Source organism: Homo sapiens, chromosome 15 (assembly GCF_000001405.40).
Source record: "Homo sapiens chromosome 15, GRCh38.p14 Primary Assembly".
In the NCBI taxonomy this organism is placed as follows: domain Eukaryota; kingdom Metazoa; phylum Chordata; class Mammalia; order Primates; family Hominidae; genus Homo; species Homo sapiens.
The window spans coordinates 28,232,708-28,247,075 of record NC_000015.10 but is presented as its reverse complement, the minus strand read 5'-3'; the positions used below and the strand labels follow the sequence as shown (position 1 = coordinate 28,247,075).

The 14,368-nt window shown below is 40.8% G+C and overlaps 1 protein-coding gene across 10 annotated transcripts in view; it reads left to right on the top strand.

Moving 5' to 3' along the window:
• HERC2 (HECT and RLD domain containing E3 ubiquitin protein ligase 2) overlaps positions 1-14,368 on the top strand; it is a 211,140-nt gene that overhangs the window by 75,104 nt on the left and 121,668 nt on the right. For 9 of the 10 annotated variants that reach the window (XM_006720727.4, NM_004667.6, XM_005268276.6 and 6 more), the window contains 9 exons: positions 179-334; positions 1,010-1,195; positions 8,304-8,474; positions 8,859-8,962; positions 9,963-10,113; positions 12,792-13,006; positions 13,280-13,412; positions 13,515-13,642; positions 13,735-13,930. In XM_006720727.4, coding sequence (XP_006720790.1) covers positions 179-334; positions 1,010-1,195; positions 8,304-8,474; positions 8,859-8,962; positions 9,963-10,113; positions 12,792-13,006; positions 13,280-13,412; positions 13,515-13,642; positions 13,735-13,930 — 1,440 coding nt within the window. The remainder of the gene's footprint in view (positions 1-178; positions 335-1,009; positions 1,196-8,303; positions 8,475-8,858; positions 8,963-9,962; positions 10,114-12,791; positions 13,007-13,279; positions 13,413-13,514; positions 13,643-13,734; positions 13,931-14,368) is intronic. The other variant, XM_006720726.4, reaches the window with a different exon arrangement.

Sequence of the window (14,368 nt, the reverse complement as noted above, 5' to 3'; positions counted from 1 at the left end):
TGTCCCTCCAGTCACATGATACAGAAAGAGCGCAAGGACAAGGGTTAACAGGCTTCTGTTTGAGAAAATTATTATGGGTAAAAGATGTGTAGATGAGAATAGCATCATGGAGCAGTTAGTTTGTTTACAAAGAAAAATTTTAGTAGTGAAAATGAAAATTTCTCAATCCTTCTTCAAGGTCCAGAGCTAATGGGTGTTGGTTCCTTGCTGAAGAAGTACACAGCCCTCCTGTGCACGCACATTGGAGATATACTGCCTGTGGCCGCCAGCATTGCTTCTACCAGCTGGCGGCACTTCGCGGAGGTGGCTTACATTGTGGAAGGGGACTTTACTGGTACCTTTTGTTTCCTGCTTGTGTACATGTTTATTTTAGGAGATAGATGAAAGCTAAAGTGTCTTCTTTGCTGATCAGCATGCCTGCATTTACTCTCTAAATTTTCTGGGCCTCCTGCCCTTTCACCTTTGTTTTTTTTTTTTAGTTACTGACAGTTCTGTTGTTAAGCCAGCTGGTATGGGACTCATATCACTTTAAATGTAATTGGTAATTTAGATTTATACTTCCATTATTGACATTTCAATAATGAGGTCAAAGGTAATTGTCTAATTTTATTTTGACAGCATAATAAAAATTAGGTACCTATTTAAGGATCTTAAAAATTCTGATATTACCTGGTATGTTTTAACTTTTTGAGGTTAGAGCATTATTTTTTAGTGTTTTTTCCCTGATGATAAACATATCAATAAACATTTAATTTTCTGAATAGAAGACTCTTAGTTCATAGTTCTGTGATTGAAATACAGTGTTTTGGAAAATATTTTTGTAATTTAAAGGGTTCTGTTTAATAGCTATGCCTGTCTCAATATAAAATATAAGATAATTCTTTAGAAATATGCTAAAGGACAAACATTTCTTATTTTGTGACTTAGCAGAATTTAAACACAGAACAAGTTTACAAATAGCTTTTATAGGATAAATACTTATTTAAATCTTATTATTTCTTAAATGTAGGTGTTCTCCTTCCAGAACTAGTAGTTTCTATAGTGCTTCTGCTCAGTAAAAATGCTGGTCTCATGCAAGAGGCTGGAGCTGTACCTCTGCTGGGTGGCCTGTTGGAACATCTGGATCGGTTCAACCATCTGGCACCAGGAAAGGAACGGGATGATCATGAAGAGTTAGCCTGGCCTGGCATAATGGGTACGGCGTCTTAAAGGAGTTTTACTGAGGAAAGTTTTATTGTCCTTGTCTAACCTATTCTTGCCTTTCAATTTGAAAGAATACTTTACAAAGGAAGATTTGCCATTTCTACTGATGGTAGTATAAGTAAAAAATGGAGATAATCCAAATCAGAAGAAATTTGGGTCATATATGTATATATTAACCAAATATATGTGTGTTTATGTATGTGTGTGTGTGTATATATGAGTGTGTATATATATGTGTGTACATATATGTGTGTGTATATATATATCTGTGTGTGTGTGTGTGTGTGTGTGTGTGTGTGTGTGTGTATATATTTTTTTTTTTTTTTGACACTACATCTTGCTCTGTTGCCCAGGCTGGAGTGCGGTGTCATGATCTCAGCTCACTGCAACCTCTGCCTCCTGGGCTCAAGTGATTCTCTTGCCTCAGCCTCCTGAGTAGCTGGCACCACAGGTGCACACCACCATGCCCAGCTTACTTTTGTATTTTTAGTAGAGATGGGGTTTCACCATGTTGTCCAGGATGGTCTCGAACTCCTGACCTCAAGTGATCCACCCGCCTCTGCCTCCCAAAGCGCTGGGATTACAGGAATGAGCCACTGCGCCCGGCTATATTTCGGTTATATTTAAGGAAGATTTTTCCATTAGTAATCCTTGTTAAGTACTGAAATGAAATTTTACAAAGTCCTGGTGCCTCCAGAAGGTGCAGTTGGGGTGGTTATCTGTGGTCCAGCTCAGGAGGCAGAGATTGATAATGGGAAGACTCTCCAGAGTCCTCTGGTTGTTTGATGTTAGTGAGATGCAGAATTCCTGGAGTCACCTGAGCACTTCTTACAGGCATTGCCTTGTAGTGCATCCCAAATTGGAATGAGACTTATCTTCTCAATGTTTTGAGTTTTGGGTTTTTGAATCTAAGTCACCATGCTTTCTATGGTTCTAGCTTCCTGGACTCAGAATCAATCAAAATCAGGGTTAAACTTTGATTTATATGAAATCTCAAGCTGGATGGGCTTTTTTTCTTCTCGTGTTTTAGACCATCATCCCCCTAACATGGGAGCTTAAAACAAGAGGTAGCAGTTGTCCTGAGGAAAACAGCCCCAGGACATTGAACATGGTTTTTTATTTTTAAAACAGTCAATACTTTGAGCACCATTCTTCCCCTTTTGTTAAGGAGTGAGCTTAGTCCTGTGTTATTTTGTCTCTCTACTATCATACTGTTGAGGGGCATTCATTTGATCAGATCAGCAGCTTACTCACTGTAAAGCCTCTTGAAATTGTGATAAGTAACACATACACAAAAGTACCTAGTAGATACCTGTAATTGATCATAGAGAGAACTGTGTCACAGCCATTCAAACCTTAGCCTGGATGGTGGCAGGACCCTCCCAAACTCGGACTCATTTCTCTGAAAAGTGCCCTTCCCCAGGCTGTGTGGTCATCGCCACCTTACTTCTGATCATCTTATACTAAGTTCTTGTCCCTACCCAACATCATTTTAATTCTGTCTGTTCTCGGACTTCATATAAGTGGAACTAGACGGTACGTACCTTTTGGTTTCTGAGCTTCACCCCGTTATTGAGTTCTTTCATTTTTATTGCCATATGTAGTATACTTTTGTTTGAATATACAACAACCTATTCATTCTACTTGTTGATGGAAATGTAAGTTGTTTCCAGGTTTAGGTTAAAGTAAATATGTTACCTTTTTTTTTGAGGCAAGGGTCTTGCTGTGTCATCCAGGCTGGAATGCAATGGTGCAATCATGGCTCACTGTAGCCTTGACCTCCCCGGCTCAAGCAGATCCTTCCACCTGCGTGGGACTGCAAGCATGCGCCACCATGCCTGGCTAATTTTTAAATTTTTTGTAGAGACACGGTCTCCCTCTGTTGCCCAGGCTGGTCTCAAACTCCTAGGCTCAAGTGATCCTCCCACAGTGCTGACATAAGAGGCATGAGCCAGCGCTCCTGCCAATACGTTAACATTCTTACATCTGTTTCTTTAATCATTCTTTCTGTTTCTTGGTGGGACTCTTGGTTTGTAGAGGATGCCTTTAATACAGAATGCCAGTTTTCCACGGTGATTGTGCTGCTACTCATCTCCACTGCAAAGTGAGAATTCTCAGTGTTCCACTTCCATGCCAAGACCTAGCATTGCTAGCACTCCCTGTTTGACCCATTCTGGTGGGTGTACACTGGTATCTCATTGTGGTTTCAATTAGCATTTTCTAGATTATTAGTGAGGTTTGATACCTTTTCCTGTGTGCATTAATCAGTTGGAAATTCTCTTTTGTGAAGTGCCAATTCAAGTTTTGTGCGCATTTTTCTATCTGGTTGTCTTTTTTTCTTTTTAGTCATTCATGTGAGTGTTACTGTGTATTTGGGATATGAACTTTTGGCTCTATTTCTGATGGAGCTTTTTCTCTCACTCAGGCCTGTGTAGTCACTTAAAAGTGTTTTCTGATGAACAGAAGTAATATTCGTGAAATCCAGTTTGTTTCTGTTTTAATGGTTGTTCATTTTGGGCCTTAAGAAATCTTTTTCTTACCCAGATTTTCTTTTACACCTTAAAAGTTTTATTGCCTTAACTTTCATGTTTAGAGCTATAGTGCACTTGGACTTGATTTTCATGCATGTTATGAGAAAGGGGTCACATGTCACTTTTTTTCCATGGGCATTTTGTCCATAGTGTCTTTGTGCCAGCACCTTTGGGTGAAAAGACTGTCCTTGGTCACTCTTCTGGGATGTCACCTTTGTCTGAACCAAGTGATTGTCTATGCTTGTGTCTGGTCTGATCTTGCAGCTTTTCCCCTAGTGACTTATTGCACTTGCTAGGACCTGTAGTGCATTGTGGAGTAGAAATGGTGACAGTGTACCTCCTTGCCTTTTTCTTAGTAGCAGAGAAAAAGCTTTCCAGATTTCACACACAAAGTATGATGTTTGTTTTAGGAGTCTCTTTGTAAGTACTTTTGAATCTTAAGGATGTTTTCTTCTGTTGCTGCTTTGTGATGCAGTTTTAACTATGATTGGGTGTTAAGTTTCATCACATGCTTTTCCTGCATTACTTGATCATATAATTTTTATTTTTTTTATTAATGTGTGAATTACTGACTTTTCAAATGTTGACTCAACCTTCCGTTTCTGGAATAAAACTACTTTGCTCATGATATTGGTCATATGGATAGATATTTCTGGTCTTGGTTTGCTATTTTTTAAAGACAATTTTGCATCTGTAGTTGTAATTTTTCTAGATTTTGCATCTCATTTTCCTTGTAATTTTTTCAGTGACCTGTAATTTTATTTTCTTGTAATGCCCTGCAACTTATTGTTATTGATAACCACCACCCCTTTACTAATAAAGAAGCTATAATTCAGGAAGAAGATAGGTCCCATGCAACCCGTTAGTTTCCATCTATCCACCAGAGAACGTTAGTTTGTCGAGGGAAACACTGGCTGATGGATCCAGTAGTAGGAAAACATAATAGACATTCAGGTTTTGGTAACCAAAGTTGTGCTAATCTTGTAGAGTGAGTAGGAGAATGTTCCTGCCTATTCTTTTCTTGGAAGGGTGTGTATAAGATTGGTAAAATTTGCCATTTAAGTGTACCATTTAGTGGCATTAATACATTCACATTGTTTAATAGCCATCACCGCCACTCATCTCTAGAGCTTTTCATTTTTCTCAACTGAAACTATGCATCTATTAAACACCAATTTTCCCTAGCACCTGGCAACTACCATTCTACTTTCTGTGTCTGAATTTGACTACTCCAGGTACTTCATATACATGGAACCATACAGTATTTATCCTTTTGGGATTGGCTTATTTCACTTAGCATGTCTTCAAGGTTCATCCATGTTGTGCAAAGTGTCTGAATGTCCTTACATTTTAAGGTGAAATCATATTCTGTTATATGAGTATATCACATTTTGCTGTCCATCCATCAGTTGATGACATTTGGGTTGTTTCCATCTTTTGGCTATTGTGAATAATGCTGCTATGAATGTGGGTGTGTATATCCATTTGCGTCCCTTCTTTTTTTTATTTGTTTATTTTTTTTGAGACAGAGTCTTGCTCTGTCGCCCAGGTTGGAGTGCAGTGGTGTGATCTCGGCTCACTGCAACCTCTGTCTCCCAGGTTCAAGCAATTCCCCTGCCTCAGCCCCCTGAGTAGCTGGGACTACAGGCGTGCGCCACCATGCCCAGCTAATTTTTTGTATTTTAGTAGAGATGGGGTTTCACCATGTTGGCCAGGATGGTCTTGATCTCCTTACCTTGTGATCTGCCCACCTCGGCCTCCCAAAGTGATGGGATTACGGGAGGGAGCCACTGCGCCCGGCCTGCTTTTACTTCTTTTGGGTATATAGCCAGAGGTAGAATTGGTAGATTATATGGTAATTTTATATTTAATTTTTTTGAGGGGTTGCCATAGTGTTTTTCGGAGTGGCTGCACCATTTTATGTTCCTGTCAGTAGTGTGCAGGAGTTCCAGTTTCTCCACATCCTCACCAACACTTTTTTTTTTTGATAGTAGCCATCAATGGGTGTGAAGTGGTATCTCATTGTGGTTTTGATTTGTGTGTCCCTAATGATTAGTGATGTCAAGCATCTTTTCATGTGCTTATTGACCATTTGCATACCTTTTTTGGAGAAATGCATATTCAAGTCTTTTGCCCGTGTTTTAATTGGGTTTTTTGTCTTGTTGGGTTTTAGGAGTTAATTATATATTCTGCATAGATATTATTTGCAATCTGTTTTGCATTCTTTCGGTTGCTGTTTCACTCTTGATAGCCTCCTTTGATGCACAGAAGTATTCGATTTTGATCAAGTCCAACTTACCTATTTTTTTCCTTTTGTTGCCTGCACTGCTTTTGGTGTCCTATTCAAGACACGTCACCAAATTCAGTGTCATGAAGATTTTCCACAGTGTTTTCTTCTAAGAATTTTATAGTTTTAGCACTTATTTTTAGGTCTTTTATCCATTTTGAGTTAGTTTTTGTGTGTGGCGTAAGGTAAGGGTCTACCTCCGTTCTTTACATGTGCATGTCTGGATTTCCCAGTACCATGCATTGAAAAGGCTCTTCTTTCCCCATTGAGTGGTCTTGGCTCCCATGTCAAAAATCGTATGACCAAATACGTGATGGATTGTTTTTGGGGTCTCCATTCTATTCCATTTTTCTGTATGTTTGTCTGTCCAGTGCCATACTCTTTATTATTGCCTTCTTCTTTCTTAGGGTTTAATCTGCTATTTTTCTTGCTTTTTGAGAAATGAATACTTATTAGCACTGTGATGTTTTTGTAATCTGTTTATTATGAAAATTTTCTAACATAGATAAAAGTAGAAAAATAGTAAAATGAATCTAGTTTTAACAGGTGAGTATGTTCCCCTCTCATACTTCTCTGTATTTTTGATTGATTGGATTATTTTTATTTTATTTTATTTTATTTTTTTAATTTTTGTTTTTAGACGGAGTCTCGCTCTTTCGCCCAGGCGGGAGTGTAGTGACGTGATCTCAGCTCACTGCAAGCTCTGTCTCCCAGGTTCATGCCATTCTCCTGCCTCAGCCTCCCGAGTAGCTGGGACTACAGGCGCCTGCCACCACGCCCGGCTAATTTTTTGTATTTTTAGTAGAGATGGGGTTTCACCGTGTTAGCCAGGATGGTCTCCATCTCCTGACCTTGTGATCTGCCCACCTTGGCCTCCCAAAGTGCTGGGATTACAGGCGTGAGCCACTGCGCCCTCTGATTGGATTATTTTAAAGCATAATTCTGTCTTTAAAACATTTTAAGGCATTTTACCTCTTAATGATAAGGATTTAAAAAAAAACCCTACAATATCATTATCTTGTCTATAAGATTAACAGTGATTCCTTAATCTAACATGCAATCCATGTTACATTTTCCTGGACTATCTCAAAAATGCCTTTTTTAGGTGGTAATTTTGAATTAGGACCTGAGCATGTTCTCTGTGTTGACATTGCTTGACATGTGCTTTCAGTCTTTCTCCCAACAACATGGCTCCAGGCCCTCCTCTCCCTGTGATCATACCGTTTTCTTTTTCAAAGAAGCAGGTTGGTTATTTTGGAGAACTTCACATTTTCTGAACTTGGTTGATTGCATTCTCTTATTCTAGACCAACATGTTCTTCTGTTAGTTACATTAATCTGCTGGTTAGATCTAGAGGTTTGGTTGGATTTGAATTCAGTCTCGTTGGGGCGGTGTTATGTCTGGGGTCATGCTGCATGCTTTCTGTTGGCTCAGGAGGCCTGTAATGCTCGGTGGCTCCCCGCTTTAGTTCTGTGAAGCTAGACCAGGGAATTCATGTGTTGCGTATCCTCTATAAAATCCCCTACCAACCTTGCCCTCTGCTGTCTGGTTAGCAGGAGGTACAATTTGTACAGGAAGGACATAATCTAAGCTTGACTTCTTGAACTGCCACCTCCCTTTAACTATTTTTCATAATATTGAGTTGGTATCCTAGCACTTGCATAGGTGACCACCACTCAGGTTTTCTTTTTTTGAGTATTTTTATGAACTAATAGACTTTTATTGATTTGGTGTTTTTCTTTTTTAGCTTTTTCCCTCTAATATACACATTTAAAGGCATAAATGCCCTCAAGCATGCATTTAGTTGTATGTCACCAATTTCGATCTGCAGTATTTTGATTATTAATTGAACACATTTTCTAATTTTCATAGTCATTTTTTTCTTAGAATTTTGGGTTACTTATAAGTGTATTTTATAATTTTCAAATATGTGGATGAATTTTTTATTTATTTTGAATGAATTTTTGAAAACCTATTTCTAATTTAACTGCATTGTAGTCAGCACACATGCTCTATAAGTTTATTTCTTTGAAATCTGTTGAGATTTGCTCTGTGGCCTGGCATGGCCCAATTTGGTATTCATGCTGCCTAGATTTTTTTTTAAAGCATTCTATATTTAACAGAATTTGTATGTGTGGTATTAGTTTCAGAGCTAGGTATGTATTTCTCCCATTGTGATTGTGGGTTTGTTTATTTCTGCTTGTAGTTCTTTCACACAGTTTGTTCTTTTCATTTTACCTGTTGATTGATCAATGGACTGATTCTGGTTTCTGTATATACAGAGTCATTTTTTACAGGTCAGAACTGTAGAAATAATGAGGAAGTGACACTTATACGCAAAGCTGATTTGGAGAACCATAATAAAGATGGAGGCTTCTGGACTGTGATTGACGGGAAGGTGTATGATATAAAGGACTTCCAGACACAGTCGTTAACAGGAAATAGTATTCTTGGTAAGATTACACTTGTTATTTCCTGGTTAAAAGTTACAACCTATATCATTTTAAGCAGAGTATTTGGCTTATAAATGATTTCTTTAGTTTTGTGCCAGCCCCCACATATTTTAATGTATCTGTGGCTTCGATGTCTGTCTTATCAACAAATTCAGCACATTTGAAGAATTTCCTTTGATTATGCATTTTTTGTTTTAATACTTGGAACTCATTTCAAGTTCTGAGTTGGCCCAGGCAACCCTGGGAGACAGTAGAAGGTCATTATACTCTGGTAACCCTCACTTTTGAGTTAAGCGCCTAACTTATTTCCTATTCACTGTTTCTCCTATATCTCTTCAGGCAAGCTGAATTGAACTCATGTTGCTTTTTCCCTTTTTGTTTCAGCTCAGTTTGCAGGGGAAGACCCAGTGGTAGCTTTGGAAGCTGCTTTGCAGTTTGAAGACACCCGGGAATCCATGCACGCGTTTTGTGTTGGCCAGTATTTGGAGGTGAGGCTGTATGCCTTGAGTGATGCAGAGGATGGCAGGGGATACCCTCTGTGTGTTTGTGATAGGAATATTTGGATCTAGAAGTACTGATATCTGGGTCTTTTGTGGGGCATTAGGGATAAATATAAAGATCCTTTAGAAGTTTTGTCATAAATGAATTTACATTTATTCATGTTAAGATCTGTGATGTACTGGTCTTGAAAAATTGTTTTTTAAATGATCAATTTGTGAGAAATATAGACAGTGTTCCACAAGAAAAGAGGTTAAACTTTGGTCTTATGTAGAAATTTGGAATGGCTTATAATCTTGAGGTAGTATTTTTTGGGAAGAACTATGTAGAAGTGTAATTCTTTACAGTAGAAATATGTCCTTCCTATGTATTCACGAACACATAGAATTTATATATTGGGATTAGCTTTCCAGGTATCGACAAGTAATAAGATGTATTAAATGCCATTAGGGCAGGGCTTAAAACAGTTTATGAAGGGGAGAATTAACTTTGCTGTAAATATCTTCTGTGACTGGAAAAGATGAACTCTTACTTTTTTCAGAGTTTGATTTTTGTTAGAATAAATTTCATTTCCTCTACATGTGTGGTCACAGTCCACTAATACTTGTCATCGAATACTTGTCATAGTTTTGTTGCCCAGTGGGTTCTTTATGCATGTAACAATTCATTATACTTTCTGAAGCATGGTGTACAGTCACTTTGGAAACTGATTCCTAAGGAATATTCTAGCCAAATCATGTATCTGTGGTTTAGTTTTTCTACAGTAGGGCTGTGCAGTTGCTGCCTGCTTTACTGGGCATGTGGGTTTATGTGGTATCTGCTGTTACTTGGGCACAGCAGCATCAACTCATTACAGGATGGAGGGGCAGAATGCCCAGAGCACCCCTGGGCTCACGTGCGGTTACAGCTGCAGGAGAGAGCTGTCCTTTTGGTTTTATGTTTTTAATTAATTCTGTTTCCTCAGATTGATGATGAAATTTATTTTTCCAGCCTGACCAAGAAATCGTCACCATACCAGATCTGGGGAGTCTCTCTTCACCTCTGATAGACACAGAGAGGAATCTGGGCCTGCTTCTCGGATTACACGCTTCGTATTTGGCAATGAGCACACCGCTGTCTCCTGTCGAGATTGAATGTGCCAGTAAGAAAATCTTTGCTTTTTGCTGATCAGCAGATTATTTTTTTTGAACTGTAAGTGCCATTAAGAGTGGGAGAGGGCCAGGCACAGTGGTTCATGCCTGTAATCCCAGCAGTTTGGGAGGTTGTGGCACGTGGATTGCTTGAGGTCAAGAGTTTGAGACCAGCCTGGGCAACATGGCAAAACCCCATCTCTACAAAAAACACAAAAATTAGCCAGGCATGTTGGCACGTATTTGTAGTCCCAGATACTCAGGAGGCTGAGGTAGGAGGATCGCTTGAGCCTGGGAGGTTGAGGCTGCAGTGAGTCATGATCATACCACTGCACTCCAGCCTGGGTGACAGAGCAAGACTCTCTCTTTAAAAAAAGTAGGAGATAGCCAGGCAGTGGCTCATGCCTGTAATCCCAGCACTTTGGGAGGCTGAGGCGGGTGGATCACCTGAGGTCAGGAGTTCAAGACCAGCCTGGCCAATGTGGTGAAACCCCATGTCTACTAAAAATGCAAAAATTAGCTGGGCGTGGTGACGGGTGCCTGTAATCCCAGTTACTCGGGAGGCTGAGGTAGGAGAATTGCTTGAACCCAGGAGACGGAGGTTGCAGTGAGCCGAGATCGCGCCACTGCACTCCAGCCTTGGTGACAAGAGCGAGACTCCGTCTCAAAAGGAGAGGCGGATTCAACACAGCTGATGATGATAAAAATAATAATAATAAGGATAGTGAGACTCAATCAGGTAGAAACAGCTGTGAGTGGTTGTCATTTGCCCTCATGGTCTGTTGCTGCAGAGGAAGCTAAAAAGTGTGCAGGAATCTCTACCCGTCTACCCTGTGGTGGTCTCACGTATTGCAGCCTCTGCCTGATGGGCCCAGCATGGCTTTTGTCTCCCTGCATGCCCAGAAATTGCACAGAATGTGGATCAGCTGTCCTCTCAGGGAACAGCATTCTACTTGAGGACTGTGTTTTTACCAGACCAGGCTCAAGTCAGTTATATTTCAGGATGGCAGCCTTTGTAACCACCTAAAATAATAAGTTTCTTCCTGTCTCCTAAGATGGGTTTACATTTTCTTTCATATAGTTGTGCATTTCCCATCTGTCTGTCTGTCCATCCGTGTGAGCAGCTTCTGTTGAACAGTTGCCTGGTGCAGTTACCATGCGAGGTGTTCAGGATGCAGTGATGGGTAGGACACGCCTCTGCTTTCAGCTGCTTCTTGTTGATGAGCCAGCATTCTAAGCAGGTCATGTTACAAGGTGGTGAATGGTGAAATGGAGACGTTCATACGTGGTTTTGGGAGAAGAAAGGCTTCACACTGGCAGCAGTCCTGAAATTGCATGAGGGAGCATTCGGGGCAGAAAACACAGGAGTGTCAAGGGCAATGCTGAGAGGAGCAGGGCTCTCCTGCTGCTTTCGAGAGTGGGTGTCGCAGAAGGCTTGCGGGGAAGGAGGATCTTGGTGTCCATACAGCCCCCCGTTGGGTGGACCTTTGTGCAGTGCTGGGTGCTGGGCTGCCTGTGGTGCCCTCTGAGGTATCTGCTTCCTTCCCTCCTCCTCAAGGCTCATTGCTTGCCAGAAGATGGGCTTTGTTTAAATTGGCAAGGAGGGCAGGGCTGGCGAGTTCCAGGGCAGAGGGTGCCATGGGCCCTGGCAGGTGGGTCCAATCCACAGGAGGATCAGAGGCTTATCTTGGAGCAGTAAGGAGGGGCTGTCCTGTGCTTAAAGAGAGGGGGCCAGAGAGAGTCGGCATTGGATTAGTGTTTCAGAAGAACGAATGTGGTGGGTTGTGGAATGCTCCTGAGTGCTCTAAAATCTAAATGTCCAGTAAAAGAACACTAAGTGCATCCCGCTTTGATTGCTTGGATTTGGAGCAGTATTTGATAACACAGATCGTTAATAGAGATCTGTAGTGGTGCACTCCCTCAAGTTGCCATAAGCAGTTGTAATTAACGTTCGCACTGGTTGATCCCATGCCTTGCACCACGCACAGGTCTCCTTTCCAGTCCATCGGCCCTCCCATCTCCAAGGATCTATCCTTCATTACAGATTGTGTGTTTCTTAAATATTTTCTCCTTTTCATTCCTTTATAAGTGCTCTAGGAATACATAGCCTACCCTGAGGATGTAATTCTTTGTAGAAACCCTTCAGATGTGCTGTTCCCTGCCTGGATACTCAGCGTCTGGGTCTTATTCCTCATCTTAGCTCAGTTGTTGCTTCCACAAGTCCCTCACTGACCCTCAGAATAGCGGTGGTCTGTCTTCCAGTCTCCCTGGTACCCCCATAGTCATCTGTTGCACAGTTTCGGACTTGAAATCCTGTGATTAATTGTGTCAGCGGTGCCCTTTGCTGCCTTCCCTGTTAGAATGTGCACCTCAGTCTTCACACGGTACCTGTGGAACCAGGCAGCTGCAGGCAGAGCACAGGTATCCAGAGAATGTTGGACTGGAACTACGATCCTGAGTTCTGATGCCATGCCTGAGGCGTGTGGAATCACCAGAAAGTGTGTTCACGTAGATAGAGGAATTATAAGTCAACCTGTGTAAACATGTTAGGTGGAGCTCTTTCATATGAATGATGCTGAATTTCACCTTCTAAATTGAGTGTTCAGTTGAGCATCTTTTTTTTTTTTTAGTATTTATTTTGAGTTGTGCACTTGAGTTTCTCTTTCATGTTTGCGTGTGCATTTTCCAGAATGGCTTCAGTCATCCATCTTCTCTGGAGGCCTGCAGACCAGCCAGATCCACTACAGCTACAACGAGGAGAAAGACGAGGACCACTGCAGCTCCCCAGGGGGCACACCTGCCAGCAAATCTCGACTCTGCTCCCACAGACGGGCCCTGGGGGACCATTCCCAGGCATTTCTGCAAGCCATTGCAGACAACAACATTCAGGATCACAACGTGAAGGTGAGCTAGGCCTGCCCCCACTGCCACCTCAGTGCTCTGTTTATCTGAGGACTTTGACATAGGAATACTTATGTGCTCTTTGGTTAACACAGCACAGACTTTGTTTCATGTATTATTTGGAGGGTTTTGAGGTGAGAACCTGATTGTGTTAACATGCTAGCGAGGCTTCAGAAGCATTAGTGATTGCAAGTGCGTCAGAAGCTGTGGCATGTTTAAGATTTGTGAAGACTCACTGGGTGGCTCTGAAGTTACTTCCAGCTGTTTCTGTTGCAGGACTTTTTGTGTCAAATAGAAAGGTACTGTAGGCAGTGCCATTTGACCACACCGATCATGTTTCCCCCCGAGCATCCCGTGGAAGAGGTCGGTCGCTTGTTGTTATGTTGCCTCTTAAAACATGAAGATTTAGGTAAGGAGCTCGATATCTGTGTACTTTAGGTACACTGCAGATTCCTCGACTAACCTGAGGTACATATTCATCCCTGCCCTTCTTTTAAATGTCTTTTTACAGGTCATGTGGCATTATCTTTAGTTCATGCAGGTGCACTTGGTATTGAGCAAGTAAAGCACAGAACGTTGCCTAAGTCAGTGGTGGATGTTTGTAGAGTTGTCTACCAAGCAAAATGTTCGCTCATTAAGGTGATAGATTTTAATTCTTTTTATTCTGTGCTTTGCAGACAGTTGCTGAAATATTTGTTGTTAAAGTTGTCTTTTCCTGGTTAACTTTGCAGACTCATCAAGAACAGGGCCGTTCTTACAAGGAGGTCTGCGCTCCTGTCATCGAACGTTTGAGATTCCTCTTTAATGAATTGAGACCTGCTGTTTGTAATGACCTCTCTATAATGTCTAAGTTTAAATTGTTAAGTTCTTTGCCCCGTTGGAGGAGGATAGCTCAAAAGATAATTCGAGAACGAAGGAAAAAGAGAGGTAAGAATGTAAAAGGACAGAAGATACTATTAAAGCTTGTGCTTCACCCTGCCACATTGGATCTGTGATTTCAGAGTGAAGTTTCTCTACTGTTGATTCCATGTGACATTTCTACCTGCTGCCATCATTTTTATTACAGTTACGATTAAATACAGAAATCTCGCTTGTTTTTCCAAGTAATCAGACAATGAGACAGTTTAGGAATTGAGTGTGGTATGATTTGATTACTAGTAAATTGATGTTGAAAACATAAATAATCTTTACTAAATTGATGGGAACAAGGAAGTATTTTTATTTTATTAGTTATCCTGGTAATGAGATATAATGGGAACATTTAAACTTATTGCCATTCTTCTAAAGAAATGTTTTTTGTTTGGAAATATTGAGTATTCTGATACATGGAGAATTATAAAGGCAAGCTAAAAGAGTTACATTTTC